Below are 27323 nucleotides of genomic sequence, written 5' to 3' on the forward strand. Positions count from 1 at the left end.
GTGAGTTGAACACAACTAATCTTGCTTACCCAGGTAATCCTGCTGCCTCCCAGCAGGTAGGGTTGGAAACAAGCCCAGGAAGAAGAAATGCCTCGGATGTGCCGATTCACTGCCCTGGCATCGTCCTTTCTCTTGCAGAGCCAGAAATGCCTTCAGAAATGGGGGCAATGGGAGCCCGGCCTCAGGACCTTGTCTGGATGAGGGGCATTGTTCTCTGAGTGCCCACGTGGGCAGAGAAAGTGCATGTGGATGTTGGTGGGCTGTGGAGCCCCCTCACTGCCCATGCCAGTGGGGTGCAAGGCCAACCTCGTGGCACTGGGAAAGGCTGGATCTCTCAGGATCTCTGCTAAGGCTGCGCTCTTTGGACATGGGGGCCAGCTGGGAACTTGTTCTCTGAAGGATGAGTGCTCAGGCCTCATCCCTCACCTTCTGGGCTCAGGCAAGCCGCTGGCCCAGATCCTATGCCAACAAGGCTGGGGAGCTGCCTCTGTTCCCTTCTGGGGCAGACCTGACTCCTTCAGCTGCTCCGAGTTGGCCCAGAGGCAAGGGTCTGTCTTCCCCTGGATGTCACAGCTTTTATGAGAAACAAGCTGGCCACTCACCATGGATGGAGACAGGCTGAAGGGGACCTGCAGTCAGGCTATGCTGGAAGGGGGACTCATAGCACTGGGGGTGCTGGGCAGCCAGGGGGTGCCAGGACGACAGGTGACTCAACCAGGCGACTGGTCCCAGCCTTTCCCTTGACCCCTAGGCTGCAGGTCCCTCCAGGACAACACTGGAGCATGTCCTCCCAGTGAACCTCACTAGAGGGATGTGCGCTCTGAAAACACTTGGCAGAAGGACTTGCTCTGAGGGTTTTAGAGCCGTTTCTGTGGATGCTGTGACCTTGAGTCACTTTGGATCCTCCCAGCCTCCCTCCTAGTGCTGATCCCCTAAATGGGGCTCTGCTCCGGATACCATCCTTACCCCAGGCGGCAGCCTGGGCCTGGGCCCTGGCCCGGGATGGGCTGCAGAACAGCTCCCCTGTGTCCTAAGGCCCAGAGCAGCAAGAAGTGCTGCTTTCTGGCCACCTCCTCCCCCTCCTCATCTAGGCCTGGGTCTGGGTGTGCTGCAGGCCAGGATTCAGGGCTTTACCCAGGCTGTGGACAAGAGGAGTGATGAGAGCTGAGCACACTTATCTGAGCAACGGCATGAATTTCAGGGCACCTGGCTATGGGCCCTCAGGCACCTTGGAAAGAGTGGGAAGAGCCCTGGGGCACCCCATTAGGCACCCCACAACCAATACACAGCCACAGTGGTCAATCCAATGGCCCCTGGGGAAACTGAGGGCCCAAGAGAAAGATTTAAGATGGCTTATTGGGAAGCCAAGTCCTCTCTCCTGGGACCCTGTGGTGGGTACAAGCTAGGATAGGGACCCTAGCTTTATACTAGGACTAGATTTATGCTTCTCTGAAACACTCAGTCCCAGGGCCAGCCCCCAGGAGGACTGAGCCCCTTCCAGTAACACTGAGCCCCTTCCAGGCCAGGCCCAGGTCCCAGGGCTCTGGGCTGCAAGGACAAGGCAGCCTGATGAAAGAGTCCCTGCCCGGCGTGGGGGCGGGGCCCAGGACCCAGCCCACCTCGGTCGGTCCCTCCTCTCTTTCTCATGCCTCAGTTGCAGCCAAGGCCTTCTGCTTGGCCACCCCAGGCTGGATGCTGTGGACTCCTGGTCCCCTCCCCTCTTGCCCAGCCCGCAGCCAAGGCCAGGCCCTCAGGTGAAGCAGAAGACTGGTCCCAGGGTCCCTCCCCAGAATTCCACCCCATGAGCCTTTCCACCCTCTCCAGAGGTACCTGGGCTTGACACTGTGCCCACCTGCTCCATAGCAGTGGCTTCCCAGGGCAGATCCTCTGAGACATGGCCCTCAAACTCTCTCCCATCTCTACTGCTGCCCCTCCCACAGCCTCCTTCCCTGCATTCTCGTGGTTTATGCCTCAGCCCACTGGCTGTGTTCTTTTAGCTCCTGGCACCTCACCCCTTCCTGCCATCATGTTCTTCAGCTCCCTGAGGAGCCTCTGGGGTCCCACGGTCCTGGAATCACTGAGTGCCGTGGGAGTGCAGGGTCCAGTGCGGGAGTCAGAGCCCAGTGCACATAGGGAGCACAGCCCTGCAGGGGGAGCTGCATCAGGCCAGGACACCCCCACACCCAAACACTCACATCATCTGGGCCCTCCTGGGGGCCTGATGGCAATAGAGGTGGCCTGTCTGCCTTGGGCAACCCCTCCCAGTCACCCTTAGTTCTGGCAGGAGTCCCCTGGCCTCAGCCCCACTCATCCCAGGAGGATAAAATGAGGTGACACCCTTCTGGGACACTGCAGAGGTCAAGCCCAGTACCATGAGAATTAGTGGCTGCTGGGAGTCATGGCAGCTGGATGGTGGCTGGACGAAATCCCCAGGGATGGTCCTCAGATCCTCTTCCAGGGACCCCCACCCTATTTATGACCTGTGCTAAAGCTCATGATACCCCGTTTTCCAGAGGCTGAGGCCAGTGGATCCTGGCTGGACACCAAGTCCATGCCCCTCCACCCTCAGGCAGAGGCTTAGTCAGTGCACACAGGCTCCCCTGTGATTATTCAGAAGCGACAGAGGCTGACTACAGCTCACCTAGAAGACCACAGGGGCCTCTTGTCTTGGTCCCTGGAAGCGGCTGGGCCCTGGGGGTGGTGGTCAGAAAGGCGTGTGGTGCTCTGCCCTTTACCTGAGAAGGCCTTCCATCCGCTCCTCCGAAGGGCCCTGCTGCCTCCTGCCACTTCTGTCCACCTAGCCTTTGCCATGGCTATGCCCCCTGCCTGGTGCAAACCAGAGTTGTTTGTCCCTCCCTGTGGGTTCGTGGTCTTGCTGGCCTCAGGAGTGAAACTGCAGACCTTCACGTGAGTGTTACAGCTCATAAAGGTGGCACAGACCCAAAGGGTGAGCAGCAGCAAGATCTATTGCAAAAAGCAACAGGACAAAGCTTCCACAGCGTGGAAGGGGACCAGAGGGGTTTGCCGCTGGTGGCTCTGGTGGCCTGCTTTTTTTATTCCCTTATCTGGCCCCACTCACATCCTACTGATTGGTCCATTTTGCAGAGATCTGATTGGTCCGTTTTACAGAGAGCTCATTGGTCTGTTTTGACAGAGTGCTGATTGGTGCATTTACCAACCTTTAGCTAGACACAGAGTATTGATTGGTGCATTTACGATCCTTTGGCTAGACACAAAAGTTCTCCAAGTTCCCACCCTAAGATTAGCTAGACATAGAGCCCGGCCCTGATTGGTGTGTTTACAAACCTTTAGCTAGACACAAAGTGCTGATTGGTGCGTTTACAATCCTTTAGCTAGACACAGAGCGCTGATTGCTGCATTTACAATCCTTTAGCTAGACAGAAAAGTTCTCCAAGTCTGCACCCATCCCAGAAGCCCACTCGGCTTCACCTCTCACTGGCACTCGTAGCGGGACTTTGCGGCACCTAGCCTGGGCACTCTGGCAGCCCAGAGGGAGCTCATCCCCCGATCAAGCCCAGCAGGTGCTTGCCGGCTGTGTGGAGTGCGGGGCCTGCCCAGCCTGTGCCCACCCGGAACCTGTGCCAGCTGCGAGTGCCTGTAGGCACAGCCCCAGCTCCCGCCAGTGTCTCTCCCTCCACACCTCTCTGCAAGCAGAGGGAGCTGGCTCCAGCCTTGGCCAGCCCCAGAGAGGGGTCCCCACAGCGCAGTGGCAGGCTGAAGGGCTCCTTGAGCATGGCCAGAATGGACGGCGAGGCCAAGGAGGCACCAAGAGCGAGAGAGGGCTGCTAGCACTTTGTCACCTCTCACCACCACAACCAAGTCAGACCCAGCCAGCCCTCTCCACCCAAGTGCCCATTCCCAACAACTCCATCTGCAGGGCCCTGTCCCACACCCCAGCCACCTCCCCTCCCCGCATTGTCCGCTACTTCATGCCTGGGGGTCCCAGGTGGTCTCTGCAACATAGAGTGAGAAAGCTCGGCCCGGGAACCATGGCGGGTGTGGGGGCCCTGCTGTGCTCAGCATTCCCGAGTAAACACTGTTTGCCTGCTGCGCTGGACCACGAGCAGAAAGAAGTCGCCCTCTAGAGTAGGGAGTCCAGGAAGAGGAGAATGGCCCCTTCTTTGGAGGCCACTGCTGTTTGCTGCCACCTCTGCTGCCCACCACCACACCACCAGCAGTGCAGCCCCGAATAGCTCCCCGACCCGTCCCTGCCATGGGCATTCCAGTGCCTGTTAGTGCCTCAAACTGCCCCCTCCCAGGCAGACAGTGCAGCCCCATAGCACCCCCAACTTGCTCCCTACTGCAGCCCAGACAGCCCCCCCAAACTGCTCCCCCCGCCGGCCACCACTCACTGCCAGTATCGTAGCCCCGGATAGCTCACCCAACCCATCTCCCCACCACTGGCAATGCTCAATAGCGGACACAACCTGCTTCCCTGTTCCCCCGCACTCCACCGGCAGTGTAGCCCCTCATACGCTGCTAACCCGCCCCACTGCCAGCAATGCAACCCTGGATAGGGTCCCAAACCAGCCCCCCCATGCCACAGGCAGTGCACACATGGGCGGTGCAGCCCTAACAGCACCCAAACCCGCACTCCGTGGCTGCCCAGATAACGCGCCTACCCCGCAGCCTACCACTCTGGCTGAGCTGAAGTCTCCGTCACTACCAACCGCAGCCTCCGTCGCCACAAACCACAGTGAAGCAAGCTACAGTGGTGCAGGCTCCAGCCTCCAGCATGCTCCCTCTACACGCGTTTTCTAAGCCGAGCACGCAGCACTCAGTCCAGCAGACGCCGAAGAGGCTGGAACGCTGGGAGGCCCCCTCAGCATACCTTGTATACTGAGATTATGGGAATGAGGTTCCTGGACTCTATGTTCAGATTGGATGAGAGAAAAATTTCTAGGCCTACTCTGATTGGACTTTATTTTCATGCTCTGATTGGTTGTTCTAAGACCTGCTCTTATCCAATCAGAACATGATAATAAAGCCCAATCAGAGTAGGCCTAGAAGTTTTCTCTGATCCAATCAGAACATGTAGTCCAGAAACGTCATTTGCATAACCTCAGTATATATATGTAATGCTGAAGGCAGCCCATTCTCTGCTTTGCCTTGTCTTCCCGAGTAGCTGCTCCATTCCCGGCATAGAGGATCAGGAGAGGGGACGCCACCTGCCACACGCTGGATGCTGGGGTCCGCACGACTGCGGCTTGTGTCGCTGTGGTTGGTGGTGGTGATGGAAACTGCAGCGTGGCTGGAGTGGTAGGAGCAGGGAAATAGTTTTGGGGTAGATGGAGGAGTAAGGGGGTGCTGAGTGCCAAAGGGAAAAGAAGATGGCAGGGCGAGCAGGAGAAGGCATTGCAAAAAGACGGTGGGGAAAATATGGTGGGAAAAAAGTGGGTAGATGGAGGCAGAAAAACAGGGTGGTGAACAGGAGGGAGAGCTTTTGCAAAAAGATGGTGGGGAAAAGATGGTGGGTAAAAAGTTTTTCAGCCAGATGCGGTGTCTCAGGCCTGTAATTCCAGCACTTTGGGAGGCCAAGGCCGGCAGATCACCTAAGGTCAGGAGTTTCAGACCAGCTTGGCCAACATGGAGAAACCTTGTCTCCACTAAAAATACAAAATTAGCCAGGCATGGTGGTGCATGCCTGTAATCCCAGCTACTCAGGAGGCTGAGGCAGGAGAATTGCTTGAACCCGGGAGGCGGATGTTGTGAGCCGAGATTGCGCCATTGCACTCCAGCCTGGGTAACGAGCAAAAACTGCATCTCAAAAAAAAAAAAAAAAAGGTTTTTGGGTAGATGGAGGGGGAAAAGTGGGTGGCAAGTGAGAGGAGGAAAGGGAGGATGGTGAGGGGGTGGAAATGAGGTGGAACAGGAGGGAGAGAAGGTTTGCAAAAAGATGGTAAGGGAAAACAGAGTAGGAAGAAAAAGACAGGTGGGGAGAAAGATTGTGGGTAGATGCAGGGGGGAAGAGGATGGCAAGTGGGAGGAGAAAAGAGGGTGCTGAGAAAGGACGGTGCTGAGGGAGGGGGAAGAGAGGATGGTGAGCAGGAGGGAGAGAAGGTTTTGCAAAAGGATGGTGTGGAGAAAAGACTGGAGAGAAAAGTTTTTGGGTAGATGGAGGGGGATAAGAAGGTGGCAAGCAGGAGAGGGAAAAAGTGGGTGGCGAGCTGGAGGGAGAGAAGGTTTTGTGAAAAGACAGTGGGCGGAAAAGAAAGACCATGGAGAAAGAAAAGACAGTGAGGAAAAAGTTTTTGGGTAGATGGAGGGAGGAAAGAGAGTGGCAAGCAGGCTACAGGAAAGAAGAGGGTGAGCAGGAAATGGGGAAGGCTTTGTGAAAAGAGGGTGGGGAAAAATTCGGGGGGTAGATAGATAGGGAAAGAGAGTGGTGAGCAGGAGTGGGGAGAAAGCTTTGCAAAAAAACGGGAAAATGTTTTTGGATAGATGGAGAAGGGAAAGAGGGTGGCAAGGAGGAGGGGGGAAAAGACAATGGGGAAAAGAGGTTTTGGGTAGCTGGAGGGGAAAAGAGTGTGGTGAGCAGCAGGAGTGGAGAGAAGGCTTTGGGAAAAGACAGGGGAAAGTGTTTTTGGGTAGATGGAGGAGCAAAAGAAGGTGATGAGAGCAGGAGGGGCTGGCCAGGGAGCGGGGGAAATGATGATGGGGAAAAAACGGTGGGGAAAGTTTTTGGGTAGACGCATGGGGAAAAGCATAATAATACCATCACCATTATTTGTGCAAGCCATTGGAGTGAAACTATCTGCATCATTGTATTTGACGCTCATAAAAACCCTGTGAAGTTGGTCTGATTATAATTTACAGACAGGGAGGCTAAGGCTTAGAAATAAAGTACTTTGCCCTGTATTCTCAACTGCTTCTCTCAGGTGGAACTAGGGAAAATCAGCATGCAGAGGTGTGACCTGTGATCTGACTCAGCCTTGCGTGGTTTGGAGTTTGTTGCTGTGGTGTCTGACCGTACATGCCAAAAGGCACACCCTGCATTGTATCACATCAGATTTAATGTTCCTTGCTGGCATTTTTGCTGTTAAACGTTTTTCATTGCTCTTTAAGGAAGGGCATTTAGTGAGGAGGAGGCTCTTGGCATTGTCACTCACTTAGCTGTTTTTCTAGATACCTAGAAGCTCTTTTTATGTTAAAAGTTTTAACTTTTTAAGAATTTAAAGAATTTTTGAGTTAGGAGATTATCCCCGTGTGCACTTTAAAACAGTGACCCAAGTGCTCTAACACCTAGAGGACTTAAATGAGGATTTCCAGCTGGTTGTGGCAAGCTATTGGTGGTGGTGTTGGCATAAAAATGCAACATGTGCTTGCTGTATTAGTAATTCATCCATATGCCCACTTCTCATTTTTATAGAAGGCTGAAGAAGTGCACATGTCCAATCAAGAATATTAAGGAAGAGTGAATTGGAGAAAGTACAAAATTGAACATACAAGTATGTAAGAAAAAAGCTGTTCTCTCTCATAGGCTAAATGTGTTCTTAGAATGGAAAATGGCTTGTAGCTAATGCTAGAGAAACAGAACAAACAATGTAGAATCACTGATGAAAGTTAGATTTACTAATTTATTTTATTTTATTTTTTGACGATGGAATCTTGCTCTGTCACCAGGCTGGAGTGCAGTGACGTGATCTTGGCTCACTGCAACCTCCACCTCCCAGGTTCAAGCGGTACTCCTACCTCAGCCTCCCGAGTAGCTAGGACTATGGTGCATGCCGTCACGCCCAGCTAAATTTTGGATTTTTAGTAGAAACGGGGTTTCACCATGTTGGCCAAGATGGTCTAAATCTCTTGACCTCGTGACCTGCCCGCCTTCGCCTCCCAAAGTGCTGCAATTACAGGCGTGAGCCACCATGCCCAGCTGAAAATTTATTTTTAAAAGCCCTTGAGTCGTGCCAAAGCTGTTGTCTCTCTTTACCCATTTGTACAGCAGAAGAGAAACTGTCTTTAAAATCTGTCTGCCTGGATAAACTCAAAGGAGCCTTTACAGAAAGGTAAATGAGAAATCAAACATTTGTATGATCTAGGCGCATAGATGATTAATGTTCGCATTGAGCCTGATGTGGATGGATCTCCACAATGTGTGCTCACCGCAGGGCTGGACATGGGCCATCCTGTTCTGTCGGGGCTTCTGATTCGTCCCCTTCACTTTAGAGATAAGCCTCCTGACATTGTTATTTAGACTCACTGCCTCTCCTTCAGCCCCTCCTGCTCACACATCAGTCTCCGGAACCCTGCCTTCCATAACTTCGTTGTTTTCATGACAGTTTAATAATTAATTTTATTCCTGGAGAAATGTTGTTCAGGGGGATTGCATATGCTCTTCTTGTTAATATAGAAAGATGGATGAATCAACCTAATTACTATACAAAAACAAATGAAAAGCTTATTAAATAAATGTTCTTATTATACTATATGTGGAAATGTACCTATAGTTTAGTATATTTTTTCTAATTTAAGAATAAGATATATACGTGTGTGTATATATGTGTATGTATGCTATAAACCTCTCATATTTAAATATGGATCACAGATCTCACATAGTAGGAAAGTTCTTTCAACTTAATTTTATTTTATGTTAAGACTGTAGACCACTGTTATATTAGAGTGTCTGTATCATAGCTAAGTTATATTTTTCAAAGTAAGCCAGTCTGTGGCTGGCTGTTCTTAGCTGGCAAAGGCCGAAGCTAATTCTGAAGCACAGGGCATTTTTGTTAGCAGATTGTCCTGAGTGATGGAAATTGCACTTGGGATGAATGCCAGTTCATCTGGATTACCTAGAATTCCTTGGAGGCCATGGTGGAAAGGATCAGCTGCTCTCTGAGAGTGGGAAACACTCTTACTCTCAGTAATTCTCTGTTGTGTGCTGGTGTGGGTCAAATATGTAAGACGCGTCGTATTTACATTTGCTTTGACTCAGCTGCAGAGAACCCAAGCCCCAGTCCCACCAAGCAAATCTTCTCCAGGTGGACAGCATATCTGAAATGGCATACAGGAAGGGAAAGGATGACAAAGGGTCTGGAAGCTCTCACTAACGTCACAGTCTGCCTTTCCTCAGCTTCCTTGTTTTTAAAATAAGGGCTGGAGAGACATGGCAAATAAGGGCCCTTTTAGTATTAGCATTTCAGTCTTTTTCTGAAGGTATTAGGAGAGAATTAATGATTTATCACCACCTCCTTCATTACTTCTGTCAAACTCTGCTAGAAGTAAGGGAAAGCATCCTTTCTTTGTTTCAGCACATTCACACAGACTGGCTAATGAGACCCCACACTGAAGAAGCCTAGAACTTCCACAGACTCCCTGAAATCTAAGTCCTCATTTTTAACATACAGCTTTTAATACTAGCTTCAGAAGTCCCGGATCCCTGCAAAGGTAAATGTTTTATTTTCTATATATTCAGAGAAACCATTCTCTGAATCTGTGCATTGCTCCTGGCAGGAAGCAAATGTCAGCTCATTCCTGTGTAATTGATACGTGACATCTTAGTTTCAAGGTTCAGCCAAAGTACTTACTAATAGATTTTAGATGACAGCTATGGAGCTTTTTCTGTCATCCTTCAGTGGGAAAATCAGAAGGATAGAACTCTTGATGTTGAGTTTTGATGCCCTTATGGTAGTTTTGGAGAGAGAAAGCTCAAAACAATGTTAAGAAAAAAATAGAATACATACATATGAATTACGTTTTACTTATCTGTTTAATGAATGCAAATTTGTTGATTTGAGAGGTAAAGTGACTTTTAAATCATTTTTATAAAATTCCGTTAAACTGAGGATTATGTATGAAAGTACCAGAATGATGCATGGGGCACAGTCACTCAGCAAATGTTAATACCATTTTTTATAGCATGTATTTGAAGGGCGATTATTTGTAATAATCTCAGGAACATTTGTCTCTTCATATGAGCTGCTGTCATGCAAATAAGGATAATCAGACTGTCTTAACTAAATGTTGGCTAGTTTCACTCAGGGTTTTCTTAGACTAGGGTTTGGTGAAATGTAAGAGCTCTGAAGATGAATCATCCTGTTAATGAGAAAATAGACTTGGCCTAGGTAGCCCATTGCATTCTTTTTGGTCTGTTTTCCTTTAAATTCAGGTTTTTTAAAAAGCATAAACACTAATGTCATCAGGTGGTTTGGTCTTGAAGCTGTCCTTGTAAACTCTAGAAGTCATGGGAAACATGAGGCATGTAGTAGGTGTTCCTTAGATTTGCTCAGGCCAAGAGCTCTTTAGAAGTAAAATATGTTTTACTCCTTTAAGGGATAGGCCTGCCTATCTCGGTAGTTAGGAAAACTTGCTAGTGGTTGTTACATTTTCACAAGAAGCTCTGCACAACAGAGCCTTATCTCCTGGCTTGGTAGCTGAGTCTCCTCTTGATAGTTTCCAAACAGCTTAAAATGCAGGGCTGTGTTAACTGCTGACGGTGTGGAGAAAAGATGTTTAACCAGGCCAGGGTGACAACTATCACTGTTTATATTCTCAGTAAAGTTTTAATTATGAAAAAGGATTTGTGAAGTTGGTCAAGCCATAGCCAATCTGGTGTGCTTTGAAAGACTTTTGTATGTATGGTTCTATCAGGGAAGAGGGGCATCTTAGGATGTGATGTAGGCCCAGGACTCCATAGGCCTGCTATTGAAGCCAGCCTGGCAAACTGGGCAATGGCAAACCTTTGCTGCAGCCCTCCACCTTGTTTAACCAACCTCCTTGGGAGTGTGACCTGTAACCAGGTGGCAATGTTCTGTTTTAGCCTCTGCCATTTTACAGTGGTGGCCTGGGTGCAGTCCTGACTTAGGGAATGAGTCCTTTCTGGTTTGATATCTGCTTGACCTTTGCCATTTGTTGATTCTCTTCCCCTCCACAAATCACCTTGAATTTTCCTTGCTCTGAACATCTAGGAGGTTACTTTTGGTAAAGCTTGAAAGTCAGAAATATTGGCCACGTGGCGTGACTAAAGTCAGGTAATAAGGAATTTAAAAGGCTTTTCTTAAAGAGTGCTCAGCTTAATTAAAAGGGAATATCCAAGTTACAGGTATGTTTAAAAGGCCTTTATGTTTTTCTCTTCCTGGATCTTGTTTTGCTGGAGAAAGGTTTTTCCTCAATCAACTGAATTATTTTTCTCCATTTTGCCTTGCCACTTTTAATGCACGTATGAGAGGCCCTAAGATAATTTCTCATGGCCTGGGACTCCTTGGAAAAAAACAGAAAAGTTGCCATTGATTCCACTGTGGGAGAGACCTCTGTTTTCCTCATGGAGGCCCAGGAATTAGAGGAGGATAAATCCCTCTCAAAAATCTGTTTTTGTCTTCCAGCTATACCTGTTTATTAGGTCCCTAGAAACTGCATGCTTTCCTAGTCTTGCTCTTAAAGGGCTCCACCTAGGGGCCAGTAATCCAATTGGGAGATTGGCAAATGAAAAATCCTATAGCTACTGGATCTTCTGTGTAGTTATACATGTGTTGTGTGTGTGATGTCTATGAAAAGCTCCAATTAGTTGACCCTAAGAAGGGTAATCACTAGCATCAAATATTTTTAAAGGGGAAAAAAAGCTATGGTACCTTTTGGTTCATGTGACTTTAATCTTTGAGAAATAAAAACAAAGATTATTGGTAAAATGCAAATGTCATCAAAATGTAAATTCTTTTTTCCTGGAGTTAGATTGCTTTGAACTAGATAAAATGGTTTAAACAAGTTATGGAAGATTTCTAAAAAATTAATCTTGCAAAAGAAAATCTGTGTGTGAACGTTGACTAAATTCAAAAGGGTTATAAAAGGTTTTTGCTTTTTTTTTTATTTTCTTGAGACAGAGTCTTGCTCTGTTGCGGAGGCGTGGTCTCAGCTCACTGCAGCCTCCACCTCCTGGGTTCAAGCAATTCTCCTGCTTCAGCCTTCCTTGTAGCTGGAATTACAGGCACACACCACCACGCCTGGCTAATTTTTGTATTTTTAGTAGAGATGGGGTTTCCCCATGTTGGTCAGGCTGGTCTCGAACTCCTAACCTCAGATGATCCACCCACGTCTGCCTCCTAAAGTGCTGGGATTACAGACATGAGCCACTGCACCCAGCCTCGTCTCAATTCTTAAAAAATAAAAATTCTATTACATCATTACAGCTTTTGTAGAATAAGAGTAGTTTACAATCTTGGACTTACAGAATACCAGACTGAAATCTTTGTTCAGTGTCCCATAGACTTAAGCTTTGTATGTGTTACTAGTATCTGTGGCATTCAATGGCCTTGTACAAATATGAAATGTTGCTTAGGCATATCTTTCATCCTATGCAGAACCTTTCATTTTGACTTTTATGAAAATTGTAATTCATATAATTTATGTAAAGTTTTTAAATGTAGAAACTTTACTTCCACACTGAACTTTGGAGTCATTTCAGTAAAAGGCTTTAATACTCTGCCCTCTGTGCCTCCACACCTACCATTTCCCCCCCTTTTTTTCTTCTTTGAGTGAAATGGTATTGAGCTGTCTGGTCTATATGGAAGAATAGGTGTCTATATTCTTACTCTCTATTCTAACACAATAATGACATTTTCCTTTTATTTTCTCAGTTGTGAGTTAATCACTTTTTTTAAAAAAAGGTTTGAGATAGTGTTACTCTCTGTCACCCAGGCTGGAGTGCAGTGGCACAATCATAGTAGCTCACTGCAGCCTCAACCTCCTGGTGCAAGATAATTCTTTATTATTATGAATAGTTTACAATTGTTTAAAAGGAACTTTATAATGAAATAAATAGTTCGGAAGAATGGTCCAAGAATCTAAGTCAAGATGAGCTGAACTGGGGTAAATAAACCTAGGAATTATGATGAGCTAATTGAATCGGGCTTGTGAAAATTAATTTACATGACAGGTAAAACATGTTAAAACATTTAGATATTTACTTCCATATAGCAGTCACTTTAATAAAATATCAGTTTACTGTTACTTGTGGCTTCTCTAGTTAGTAAGAACTTTAACAGACTGTATTGGGACAAGTCTACGTCTCTTTTAGGAACTAATCTCACAAGTTGTTGTGATGCTGTAGCTGGATACTCGGGGTCAGCTGTCGGAGATGATGCTACTTTTTCTTTTATCTTTGACTTGCAAAGAGCCTCCCCTTTTTTTGGACCCAGGCACGTTTTCTGGACCTTGGTGCCATTTGTATACCCATGTTCCTGTGATCCCAAATGATAGTAGATGGTGCCTTGAACCTAGCACCTTCAATTAAAGGCTGCCTCGTGCTCTCAGGAAAGCTTGCTGCTCTACACACTTTAAAAGGCAGAAAAGCAACAAATCTGTTTGGTGCTTATTTGTAATTTTAAGGATCAGTTATAGATAAATATATTTGTAATGAGAGTAAATATACTCATGGGATCAATTTGGGGATTTTTAAACATCCCAAAGGAGAATTTTTATATCTAGTCTTTTGTTATTTCGTGAATGTTTGCAAGCTGTTACCTCCGGGAGGTGGAGGTTGCAGTGAGTTGTGATCACACCACTGCATTCTAGCCAGGGCATCAGAGCAAGACCCTGTTTAAAAAAAAGAAGAGAAAAAGGTGATCGTGGATTTCCTTTTCTTATTCCTAATTGACAGGGAAATCATTCAATATTTCACCATTAAACAACATGATGATTTTCTAGTTTTTTTTGTAAATATGCTTCATTTATTCCCAGTGTACTGAGTTTTTGCTTATTTATGACCAGATCTCAAATTATATAAATTACTTTTTCAGTATTACCTAGAAGATCATATGGTTCTTCTCTTTTATTAATATGATGAATTACATTGATTGATTTTATTTTCATTTTATTTTATTATTTGAGACAGAGTCTTGCTCTGTTGCCCAGTGTGGATTGCAATGGTATGATCTCAGCTAACTGCAGCCTCCACCTCCTGGGTTCAAGCAATTCTCTTGCCTCAGCCTTCTGAGTAGCTGGGACTACAGGAACACCTACCACCACGCCCGGCTAATGTTTGTAGTTTTAGTAGAATGGGATTTCACCATAGTGGCCAGGCTGGCCTTGAACTCCTGACCTCAGGTGATCCACCTGCCTCGGCCTCCCAAAGTGCTTGGATTACAGGCATGAGCCACCACGCCTGGCCACGATGATTGATTTTTAAACATTAACTTCACATTTCTAGAATAAACCCCAATAATCTTTCATTTTGACAGCATTCCTAGAAAAGGGGATTTTCACATAAAGTTTACCATCACCTTAAGAAGAAAACTCTTTAAAACTTTTTGGGGAGCGGTATGTCTAAATAGTTCTCCTGCTCCCATGCCTGTTTAAAGGTAATGAAGTGGACAATCTCACTTCTTCTTGTGGACTCAGAGTTGCCATTGTCACTGACATTTGTTCCACAGACGCTCACAAGGGGCCATCTGTTCCCTGTTCTGACTGACAAAATAATAGCTATTGAATAGAATGTGTTCTGTTATTCCAAAGATATGAATATGTGTTCAATAACTATCAGCACTATACAGCACTCTGGGTTTTTATTGTTGCTGCAGATGCTGTTTTTGTTGAGTACTTATATTGCTTTTTTTCTCTTTCTTGCTGTTTGAGTACCAAGTATTACTTCTTGCTGCTTTTAGTGCATTTGTTTCTGTTTCCTCTCTCTCTCAATTTGATTTTCTAAAAAGAAAGAGCTAACCTTGTTAGATTTGTTTGTGTGTGTGTCTATATACATTTCAATTTATATCTATTTATATAAAGTAAGAGCAGCTTGTTTCTGAGTGAGGGCATATTGGATGTTCCCGGAAGAAAAAAAAAGTGTGCTCTTTGTATGACTAATTGTGGCTGTGTAAAGTTTTTGTTTGCTTACGATATGCTTTCTATTCTGTATTAGAATGTGGAGACTCAATGTTTTTGTCCCCTAGAAGTGCATGGGTTGAATCCTAACCCCTAATATGATGATGGGAGTTAGGTCCTTTGAGTGGTGACTAGGTCATGAGGGTGGAGCCTTCAGGAATGGGATTAGTGCTCTTGTAGAAAGGCTTCAATCCCATTTTATATATATATAAATTTAACATTTAATTTTAAAATTACAGTTAATAGAGTTCCCTGGCCCCTTCTATGTTGAGACATGGTGAAAAGGCAGCCTCTATCAACCAGAAAGCAGACTCTTTTCAGCCAGTAAGTTTTCTGACACCTTGATCTTGGACTTCCCAACTGTGAGAAATAAATTTCTGTTGTTTACAAGCCACCAGTTTATGGTATTTTGTAAGAACAGCGTGAATGAATTGAGAGAGTTGAGATTGCTGGATAAGTAAATACTATGATATGTTAATGTCATCTGTCAGGCAGTGGACTTAATTCAAGTTTGGATAATTGAGAGTAATAACATTCAAGCCTAATACAGTAATATGCACATTTTATATAAAATATTAGGGCTTTGGGAGGCCAAGGCAGGAGGATAGCTTGAGGCCAGGAATTCAGTAACAGTCTGGGCAACATAACAACACCTCCATCTCTGCAAAAATAGAGAAAGAAATTATCCAGGCATGGTGGTGCCTGTAGTCCCAGCTATTTGGGAGGCTGATGCAAGATGATCACTTGAGCCCAGGAGTTGGAAGCTGCAGTGGGCTATGGTCCCATCTCTGCACTTCAGCCTGGGAGACAGAGCAAGACTTTGTCTCAAAAAAGATTATATATATATATGTGTGTGTGTGTGTGTGTGTGTGTGTGTGTGTGTGTATAATTTTATTATTAACTAAATATAAATATGTGTTTAACAAATATATATAAATGTTTGACATATAATTTTAAAATTACAGTTAATAAATTCTACTGATAACAAACCACATTAGTTAGATTTTTTTTAACATACAATTCTTCAAGAATAAACTTGATGCCATTGTCAGCAAACTGAACTGCCACCCAGCTTTACTTTATGTTTATTTTCCTTTATACTTCTATTTACCTATGGCTTCTGGTAAGGCATCCAACCTAATTATTCACTAGATTTTTAGTCAACACTTAGTATGTACCAATCCTTGTTTTCATCACCAGGAGCGCAAAATTGACAACGCTCCTTGAGGCATTTGATCTAATTGGATGGCATTAGATGGCTCATGTCTAAGTGATTTCGAGTGCCCTCTCCTCTCCTTGGGCCTTTGGCAATGTCTGTAGGTGTTTTTGATTGTTATAAATAGGGGTTAAGGAACAAATGTGCTCCTGGCATCTGGTAGGTGGAGTCCAGGAATGCTGCCAAACATTCTGCTGTGCACAGAACAACCCCCTAGCAAAGAACGATCTGACTCCAAATGTCCATAGTGCTGAGATGGAGAAACACCGCCTAGAAGGAATGATGAACACAGAAACAGATGAGTCTGAAACAAGGGGATAAATACAGTAAAAAATTGATAGTCTATTACTAGAGTACCATTAGTACTGTTAGTGGCTCTTCTATTAGTAGAAAGCTTGTTTTTGAAGATGTATTCCTTCCTGTATAGTTCCATAGCTACATTAAAACATTTTTATCGTGGAAGATTTTAAGCATGCAAAAAATAAAAGAGTTAAACTCATTTTCCACCTTCAGCCATTACCAACTTCATCAATTTTGTTTCATATGTACTCACCCCCTCCCACTTTGACAGGTTATTCTAAAACAAACTTGCACATCATATACTTTAATTTGCAACCACTTCAAGTGTATACCTCAAAGAGATAAGACATTCTTTTCAAAAATACAACTCTTTATTTTTAATCACAGCAAAAACATTCCTTAATGCATGGATACATTCTTTACATGACAAAACAAGAACAAAAACAAAAGACCCCATGGGTTTTTTGGTTTGATGTTATTAAGACATCTGTCCCATCTCCCTCCCTGTATCTTTATCTTGAGTTGAGCAGGAGAGGTATTGAAATCTTTCTTCTTTTATGTATCTTGTTGATTGGTGGCATATCTATCAGAGTACTCCATGCTGACCGACGCTACCTGGGCAGTGATTTAACCTGCAAACTTTGCCGATTTCTGTATGTTAGGGGTTTGGACCGGTGCTTGTTTTAGTGTGCCTGGCACAGGATTTTTGTCTGACTTGGCCCCAGCCTGCGCACTGACTGCCCATCCCGCACCCCATGACCAAGTTTTCCCTGGATACATGATTTTTTTTAACTGGCAGGCCCCCAAGTGATACTTTTCTCTGTCTTTGTACCAGTTGATTCTAACAACAGACTTTTTCTCTGGAGACTGACATCCCTCACAGAATGGTGGCAACTACCCTAATGGCTTTTAAAGGGTCAACCCTTGCCTACCATTTTAGAAAGCAAATTTTGTTCTTGAAAGATGTTCAGAAACAAATGGGGGAAAAAGCAAGCAGTAAACAAATGTATAAGAATATGCTAACAACTCAGAACAAAACTGAAACCAAAAGTTCATTTACCAGGATCAGAAACACAAACAAAGACTTTTTATCTATTCTGGCAAGTCATTTCTAGTAAAAAGACAGTTTGCGTGACTTGCCAGAATACATAAAAAGTCTTTTATAGTCCCAGAAGGGATACGAGAGCCTTTACTACAGTGACTTAACCCACTCAGGTCCTAAATAAGCTCAACAGACAGCTGCTATCAAAGGAAGGAAGCCTGACCTGAGAGATGTACCTGGGTAGAAAAAAGGCAATCCGCGGAAGTACAGCTCAATTGTGTGTACCTCGTCTTGTCCCAAAGGTTGCCGATCTGTTTTAAAGGTACCCTTGTTTCATCCCACTTCTGACCACAGAGTATGTCAACCTAAAAAAAAAGACACTTAAGAATCTTACTTCCAGATATGTTGAATTTATTCAGGAGTGGAAAAAGTGGTTTATCAGAGATTCACAGAGTGGCAACCCACAAGTGCCATCTGCTGAAAGGTAAAGGGACGCTTTTTTTTAGCAGGAAGAGAGAGGTTCATGTAACCTACTTAGGAACAGAGTTTATTGGTTCCAAAGGCATGAAGTCAGAGTTGTCATCAGTTTATCGGCGGAGATGCTGTTACTGGGGCAAGTATTCCTTAGAGTATTTTATTGGAATTATTACAGCCCTAAAGAGTGTCTAGTAATGCACTTTTTTTTTAGTTAAATGAGATATATTATTACAATTAATTTTACCTACTTTCTATTTTTCTTTTTTTTTTTTTTGAGATGGAGTCTTGCTCTGTCACCCAGGCTGGAGTGCAATGACACAATCTCGGCTCACTGCAACCTCCACCTCCTGGGTTCAAGCAGTTCTCCTGCCTCAGCCTCCCAAGTAGCTGGGACTATTGGCGTGTGCCATCAAGCCTGGCTAACTTTTTTGTATTTTTAATAGAGACGGGGTTTCACTGTGTTAGCCAGGATGGTCTCGAACTCCTGACTTTGTGATCCACCGGCCTCGGCCTCCCAAAGTGCTGGGATTACAGGAGTGAACCACCATGCCCGGCCTTTTTAAAATTATTATTATACTTTAAGTTATTGGATACATGTGCAGAATGTGCAGGTACCATGGTGGTTTGCTGCACTCATCAACCTGTCATCTACATTAGGTATTTCTCCTAATGCTATCCTTCCCCTAGACCCCCACCCTGCGACAGGCCCCAGTGTGTGATGTTCCCCTCCCTGTGTCCACATGTCCTCATTGTTCAACTCCCACTTATGAGTGAGAACATGTGTTTGATTTTCTGTTCCATGTGTGTTTGTTGAGAATGATGGTGTCCAGCTTCATCCATGTACCCGCAAAGGACATGAACTCATCCTTTCTTATGGCTGCATAGTATTCTATGGTGTATATGTGCCCCCATTTTCTTTATCCAGTCTATCATTGATGGGCATTTGGGTTGGTTCCAAGTCTTTGCTATTGCGAACAGTGCTGCAATAAACATACATGATGCATTTTTTTTTTCAGACTGAGTCTTGCTCTGTTGCCCAGGCTGGAGTGCAGTGGTGTAGTCTCTGCTCACTGCAACCTCTGCCTTCTGGGTTCAAGCGATTCTCCTGCCTCAGCCTCTGGAGTAGCTGGGATTACAGGTGTGCACCACCACCCTCAGCTAATTTCTGTATTTTTAGTAGAGACGGGGTTTCAACATGTTGGCCAGGCTGGTCTTGAACTCCTGACCTCAAATAATCTGCCCACCTTGGCCTCCCAGAGTACTGAGATTACAGGCGTGGGCCACCACGCCCAGCCTAGTGATACAGTTTCTACAGTCATTTGTCATTTGAAGCAAATTGGAAAGGTGAAAAAGCTCGATAAGTTGGTGCCTCGTGAACTGACTGAAAATTTAAAAAAAGAAAATCACCATTTTGAGGTGTCGTTTTCTCTCATTCTATGCAGCAACAATGAACCATTTCTTGATTGGATTGTGATGTGACGAAAAGTGGATTTTATACGACAACCGGCAATGACCAGCTCAGTGGTTGGACCAAGAAGACGCTCCAAGGCACTTCCCAAAGCCAAACTTGCACCAAAAAAGGTTATGGTCACTATTTGGTGGTCGTCGGCTCGTCTGATCCACTGCAGCTTTCTGAATGCCAGTGAAACCATTGCCTCTGAGGAGTGTACTCAGCAAATTGATGACATGCACTGAAAACTCCAGCGCCTGCAGGCAGCATTGATCAACAGAAAAGCCCAATTCTTCTTCATGACAGCACCTGACCACATGTCACACAACTCACGCTTTAAAAGTTGAACAAATTGGGCTACGAAGTTTCACCTCATCTGCCGTATTCACCTGATCTCTCGCCAACTGACTACTACTTATTCGAGCATCTTGACAACTCTTTGCAGGGAAAATGCTTTCAGGACCAGCAGGATGCAGAAAATGCTTTCAAGAGTTTATTGAATCCTGAAGAATGGATTTTTACACTATAGAAATAAACAGACTGGGCGCAGTGGCTCACGCCTGTAATCTCAGCACTTTGGGAGGCCAAGGCAGCCAGATCACCTGAGGTGAGGAGTGCGAGACCAGCATGACCAACATGGAGAAACCCCGTCTCTACTAAAAATACAAAATTAGCCAGGCGTGGTGGTGCATGCCTGTAATCCCAGCTACTTGGGAGGCTGAGGAAGGAGAATCACTTGAACCCAGGAGGCGGAGGTTGTGAGCTGAGATTGCACCACTGCATTCCAGCCTGGGCAGCAAGAGTGAAAGTCCATCTCAGAGAGGAAAAAAAAAAAAAAAGGAAAAAGAAAAGAAAAAAAAAAACTTATTTCTCATTGACAAAAATGTGTTGGTTGTAATGGTTCCTATTTTGATTAATAAAGATGTTTGAGCCTAGTTATAATGATTTAAAATTCACAGTCCAAACTGCTGTTACTTTTGCACCAACCTAAAAATACTTGTATACGTGTGAAACATGCCAGACTTCCAAGACAGGAGATGTGTGACAGATGTGAAGGGATTTCTTGGGAGGTGTTTAGGAAGCCTTTGGAAGCAGTTCTTATCTCAGACATGCAAGCACGAGCCTCCTCTTTTGTGCATTCCCAGCCCTGTTTTGTCAGCGTCTGAAAAGAGTGATTCCATCCTGGTATGTGCAATTCTCACAGCTTGTATAGATAAAATTTTGCAACTGTGCAAATATTTCCGCAGAGTAAATATCTAGGAATAGAAGAAGTAGTTCAAAAAGTAAACACATTTGAAATTCTAATAACTATTGTCAACAGCCCTCCTCAGTGCTGGTACTAATTACACTTCTAAGAGCTGTGTATGATGGGAGCTGTTTTCCCTCACCCTCACCAGAAGTACTTTTTTATATTTTTCAGTTTTCCTACTTGATAAGTGAGCAGTGATTTCTTAGTATTGTTTTAATTTGAATTTTTTTTATTATGAGCAAAGTCGAGCATCTTTTCTGATGATTAAAATGCTGTTGTATTTCCTTTTCTGTTAACTGTTGTTCTGGTCATTTTTTCTATTGGATTGTTGGTTTTTTCCTTATGGATTTCTAGAGGAACACTGTTTTACTCATAGTTCGTCTTTTGACATTATTTATAGTGTTTTCATCATATAGGCTTACTTTTTTTTTTGAATCAGGGTCTTACTCTGTTGCCCTAGATGGAATGCAATGGCACAATCATGGGTCATTGCAACCTCCTATCTCCCAGGCTCAAGTAATCCTCCTGCCTCAGCCTCTCAAGCAGCTGGGAATACAGGTGTGGGCCACCACGCCCAGCTAATTGTTATATTTTTTGTTTGTAGATACGGAGCTTCACCGTGTTTCCCAGGCTAGTCTCACAATCCTGGGCACAAGTGTTTCACCCACCTCAGCCACCCAAAGTGCTGGGATTATAGATGTGAACCACTGTGCCCAGCCAACAATTTTTATAATGACCTCTGGATTGTATATCATGCAGTTGGCCCTCTGTATCTGTGGGTTCTGCATCCAAACTATGGATTGAAAATATTCCAAAAAATCAAACAATAAAAATAACGCAAATTTTAAAACAATACATTATAACAACTATTTACATAGTACTTACACCATATTAGGTATTAGAAGTAATCCTTATAAGTACAGAGATGATTTAATGTTCATAGGTTATATGCAAATATTGCACCATTTTATATAAGAGATTTGAGGCTGGGCACGGTGGCTCACGCCTGTAATCACAGCACCTTGGGAGGCTGAGGTGGGTGGATCACGAGGTCAGGAGATTGAGAACATCCTGGCTAACACAGTGAAACCCTGTCTCTTCCAAAAAAAAAAAAAAATTACAAAAAATTAGCCGGGCGTGGTGGCGGGCACCTGTAAGCCCAGCTACTTGGGAGGCTGAGGCAGGAGAATGGCGTGAACCCGGGAGGCAGAGCTTGCAGTGTGCTGAGATTGCGCCGCTGCACTCCAGCCTGGGCGACAGCGAGACTCTGACATATATATATATATATTTGAGCATCATGGACTTTAGTATCTGAGGGAGATCCTGGAACAAATGTGCCACGTACACAGAGGAACAACTGTAATCAGAAAGGCTTTTCCCATTTGCTATGGTTTGAATGTATCTCTCAAAGTTCATGTGTTGGAAACTTAATCCCCGATGCAAGTGTCGAGAAGTGGGACTTTTAAGAGGTGATCAGGCTATGATGAGTCTGCCCTCATGAGTGGATTAATAGTGTCGTTTTGGGATGAGTTCCTGATAAATAGATGAGTTCACCTCCTTCCTCTCATACTCTCTCATGTGTGCTTTTGTGCCTTTCTGTCCTTCTACCATGGGATGACACAGGAAGAAGGTCCTAGCCAGATGCAGCCCCCTGATCTTGGACTTCCAAGCCTTCAGAAGCATGAGCCAAATACATTTCTGTCTATTATAAATTATCTTTTTTTCACTGATTTTAGATGAAATTTTTACTGTAAATTCTTGTATGTATTTGGGTGTATTTCTCTGGACTTTTTGATAACATGTTTCTCCTGTTTATAATTATAGCAACTTTATGTTTTAATATTTGCACTTCTTTTTCAAAGTTTTCCTAATATTCTTGTTTGCTTTTCAACATGAATATTAAAAGTAGTTTAATAAATGAAACAATAACAACAAAACAATAATACCTATTGGCATTTAATTTACGAATGAACTAAGGAAGAATTGCCATCTTTATTATGTTGAGGTTTCTTGTTCAAGTACACAAATTTTTTTTTTTTTTTAATTGATCATTCTTGGGTGTTTCTCGCAGAGGGGGATTTGGCAGGGTCATAGGACAATAGTGGAGGGAAGGTCAGCAGATAAACAAGTGAACAAAGGTCTCTGGTTTTCCTAGGCAGAGGACCCTGCGGCCTTCCGCAGTGTTTGTGTCCCGGGGTACTTGAGATTAGGGAGTGGTGATGACTCTTAACGAGCATGCTGCCTTCAAGCATCTGTTTAACAAAGCACATCTTGCACCGCCCTTAATCCATTTAACCCTGAGTGGACACAGCACATGTTTCAGAGAGCACAGGGTTGGGGGTAAGGTCACAGATCAACAGGATCCCAAGGCAGAAGAATTTTTCTTAGTACAGAACAAAATGAAAAGTCTCCCATGTCTACTACTTTCCACACAGACATGGCAACCATCCGATTTCTCAATCTTTTCCCCACCTTTCCCCCCCTTTCTATTCCACAAAACCGCCATTGTCATCATGGCCCGTTCTCAATGAGCTGTTGGGTACACCTCCCAGACGGGGTAGTGGCCTGGCAAAGGGGCTCCTCACTTCCCAGTAGGGGCGGCCGGGCAGAGGCGCCCCTCACCTCCCGGACGGGCCGGCTGGCCGGGCGGGGGGCTGACCCCCCACCTCCCTCCCGGACGGGGCGGCTGGCCTGGCGGGGGACTGACCCCCCCACCTCCCTCCCGGATGGGGTGACTGCCGGGCGGAGAGGCTCCTCACTTCTCAGACGGGGCGGCTGCCGGGCGGATGGGCTCCTCACTTCTCAGACGGGGCGGTTGCCAGGCAGAAGGTCTCCTCACTTCTCAGACGGGGTGGCCGGGCAGAGTCGCTCCTCACCTCCCAGACGGGGCGGTGGGGCAGAGGCGCTCCCCACATCTCAGACGATGGGCGGCCGGGCAGAGACGCTCCTCACTTCCTAGATGGGATGGCGGCCGGGCAGAGACGCTCCTCACTTTCCAGACTGGGCAGCCAGGCAGAGGGGCTCCTCCCATCCCAGACGATGGGCGGCCAGGCAGAGACTCTCCTCACTTCCCAGACGGGGTGGCGGCCGGGCAGAGGCTGCAATCTCGGCATTTTGGGAGGCCAAGGCAGGCGGCTGGGAGGTGGAGGTTGTAGCGAGCCGAGATCACGCCACTGCACTCCAGCCTGGGCACCATTGAGCACTGCCAAGTACACAAATGTTTTTCCATTTGTTTAAGTATTTTTGTTTTGATTTTGATGTATTCTTTATATAGCTCATGTGATTTCTCACTTATTAATTCCAATGGATTGTTCGTTGTTGCTATTGTGACAAGTGAACTCTGTATCAGTAGGAGTTCCAGTAGGGAACAAATGACTCTATTTATATTGGTTAACTAGAGAGATAAAAAGTGATATTTACAAAAATGTAAACAAAATAAAGAAAAACCAAGGAAAAAGAGTATTACCTTTGAGCTAGTAACAGTAGTCCTGGTCCCTCATTTTCACACCTAGGCATGAATGGTTGGAAGGAGTAGTTGCTGTACTCCAGAGACAGCACTCTTATTGGAGAGGCCAACTGATAAGAGCTATACATTGCCCTTGCCCACTGTGATCCCTCCAGAAAATAGGGATAAAAGAGAAAATAAGTATGCTACCCCACTCTCCTCCATTCCTTAGATCTCCTGTTGGGGCTTCCCAGTGGCCAAGCCCAACCAGAGGCAAGAGGGCAGGAGAGTCTATTGCTAGGATCAATACTGTCGAGGCTTGCTGGGGCGAGAGCAGGAGGGAGTCCAGTGAGAGTTAATCTGGAGACAAACAGAGGACACCCAACGCTGTGTCCTTTCTCCCACTGAATCTTCTATTGACAGTTATTTTTTATATTTGAAAGACACTGATTTTTACTTTTTTTTTTTTTTTTGAGACAAGGTCTCACTCTGTAGCCCAGTCTGGAGTACAGTGGGGCAATCATGGCTCGTTGCAGCCTCAACCTCCCTGGGCTTAAACAGTCCTTGAGGCCATCTCAGCCCCTGGAGTAGCTGGGACCACAGACTTGCACCACCACGCCCAGCTGATTTTTGTTTTTCTTGTAGAAACGAGGTTTCGCCATGTTGGTCAGGCTGGTCTCAAACTCCTGAGCTCAAGCGATCCGCCAGCCTGGGCCTCCCAGAGTGCTGGGATTACAGACTTGGGTCACCGCACCTGGCCTGTGAATTTTATTGAATGCAAATTGTACCACAAAAAATGCAAAATATAGGCCGGGCGTTGTGGCTCATGTCTGTAATCCCAGCATTTTGGGAGTCCAAGACAGGTGAATAATCTGAGGTCAGAAGTTCAAGACCAGCCTGAGCAACATGGTGAAACTCCGTCTCTACCAAAAATACAAAAATAGCCAGGCGTGGTTGTGTGTGCCTGTAATCCCAGCTACTTGGGAGGCTGAGGCAGGAGAATTGCTTGAGCCCGGGAGGCGGAGGTTGCAGTGAGCCAAGATGGTGCCACTTCACTCCAGCCTGGGCAACAGAGATCCCGTCTCTACAAAAAGAAAAGAAAAGGTAAATGTGTTTTTAACCTGATAAATTTCCAACCTGTTTTTCCAAATGAATGTTAGGTACAGTGTAACTAACCACTGGCAATAGATGAGTATTCCAGTTGTTCTACCTTCCAGCACTTTGGGAGGCCCAGGAGGGTGGACTGCTTGAGCTCAAGAGTTGCCCAGCCTGGGGAACATAGAGAGACCTCATCTCTATTCTTTAAAAAATTAAAAAGAAAAAAAGTTACTGGCTATTTATGTATATTCTCTTATGAAGGGCCTGTTTAAATCTTTTGTCCATTTTTGATGGAGTTGTCTTCTTATTGGTAAATTGTAATAGTTTGTTTTTTTTTTGAGACGGAGTCTCGCTCTTTTTCCCAGGCTGGAGTGCAGTGGTACAGTCTCAGCTCACTGCAAGCTCCGTCTCCTGGTTCACGCCATTCTCCTGCCTCAGCCTTCCGAGTAGCTGGGACTACGGGCGCCCGCCACCAGGCCGGCTGATTTTTTGTATTTTTAGTAGAGATGGGGTTTCACCGTGTTAGCCAGGATGGTCTGGATCTCCTGACCTCATGATCTGCCTGTCTCGGCCTCCCAAAGTGCTGGGATTACAGGCATGAGCCACCGCGCCCGGCCTGTAATAGTTCTTTATATATGCAAGACACAGGCCTTTGTTGGAAACATGTTTTGCAAACTTTTTTCCCGTTTTATTTTCTGAAGAGGGTTTTTTGAAGAGCAAAAGGTTTTCATTTTAATGAAATTTAATTTATTAATTTTTTTGTTTCATGCCTTTATGTCTTAATAAGAAACTTTCTCCTAACCTAATATCACAAATATATCCTTCTATTTTTTTCTGACTTAAGTTTTAAGATTTTAGTTCTTAAATTTAGGTCTATGACCCATTCTGAGTTAATTTTGTTATACAATAAAAGATAAGGGTCCAGACCCTTTTTCCTCCCATATAGAAACTATTCTAGTGCTGTTTGTTGAAAACACTAGCCTTTCATTCACTGAATGAAAATTTGGTGCTTTAATAAACATGAGTTGACTATGCGTATGTGGGTCTACTTCTGGACTGGACTCTGTCCCACTGATTGTTGTGCCTTTCCTTATCCCCATACCACACACTCTTGATAACTGAAGTATTATAGTCAGTCTTCGTATCAGGTAGTTTAAGTCCTCCAACCTTCTCTTTCTAAAATTGTTGAGCTGTTGTGAGTCCTTTTTATTTTCATATCAAGTTTAGAATTACTTGTCAATTTCTTTCTTTCTTTTTTTTCAGATGGAGTTTTGCTCTTTGTTGCCCAGGCTGGAGTGCAGTGACGCAATCTCGGCTCACCGCAACCTCTACCTTCCGGGTTCAAGTGATTCTCCTGTCTCAGCCTCCCAAGTAACAGATTACAGGCACCTGCCACCACACCTGGCTAATTTGTGTATTTTTAGTAGAGATGGGGATTCATCATGTTGGCCAGGATGGTCTCAAACTCCTGACCTCAGGTGATCTGCCAGCCTCGGCCTCCCAAAGTGCTGGGATTACAGGCATAAGCCACCACTCCCGGCCCCAGTTACTTGTCAATTTCTAAAACAATGTGCTTGCTATGATATTTATTAAAATTGCATCAACTCTATCATAGATTCAGGAAAAATTAATATCTTAACATTATTGAGTCTTCCAGTTCATAAATATGACCTATGTCTCCATGTACTTAGGTCTTTTAAAATTTCTTTATCAGTGTATAGATCTTCCACATCTTTGGTTAAATTTATTCCTGAATATGTTTGTTATTTTGAACGTATTTGTTTTTTTTCTATTTTATTTCCATAAGTTTTTGGGGAACAGGTTGTGTTTGGTTACATGAATAAGTTCTTCAGTGGTGGTATCTGAGATTCTGGTGCATCCATCAATCTGAGCAGTATACACCGTACCCAATTTGTAGTCTTTTAACCTTTATCCCCCTCCCACCCTTTCCCCACAAGCCCCCAAAGTCCACCGTATCATTCTTATGGCTTTGTATCCTCATAGCTTATCTCCCACTTATGAGTGAGAACATACCGTATTTCTTTTTTAAATGTCATTTTCAATTGCTTGCTACTGATATACAGAAATAAAATGTGATTATTGCATATTGATCTCTTATCCTGTGATCTTGCTGTAATCACTTGGTCTAGGAGATTTTGTATATTCCTTTAGGATTGTTTATATACATAATTATGTTGACTATGTAAATAAGACAGT

At 44.9% G+C, this 27323-nt stretch overlaps 1 long non-coding RNA gene across 5 annotated transcripts; it reads left to right on the forward strand.

The window, feature by feature from the left end:
* The first annotated feature begins 5118 nt into the window (after positions 1-5118).
* Positions 5119-20166, forward strand: LOC105370115 (uncharacterized). 5 transcript variants are annotated; one of them, XR_941753.2, is made up of 5 exons: positions 5119-5280; positions 7964-8027; positions 9270-9405; positions 15069-15153; positions 19307-20166. It is a non-coding gene; the product is annotated as an uncharacterized LOC105370115 (long non-coding RNA). The 5 variants fall into 5 exon arrangements; XR_001749790.2 differs by having other exon boundaries at positions 7967-8027; positions 19307-19923; XR_001749789.2 differs by lacking the exon at positions 19307-20166 and adding an exon at positions 17894-18041.
* Positions 20167-27323: the final 7157 nt, after the last annotated feature.

Source organism: Homo sapiens, chromosome 13 (genome assembly GCF_000001405.40).
Source record: "Homo sapiens chromosome 13, GRCh38.p14 Primary Assembly".
Lineage (NCBI taxonomy): Eukaryota > Metazoa > Chordata > Mammalia > Primates > Hominidae > Homo > Homo sapiens.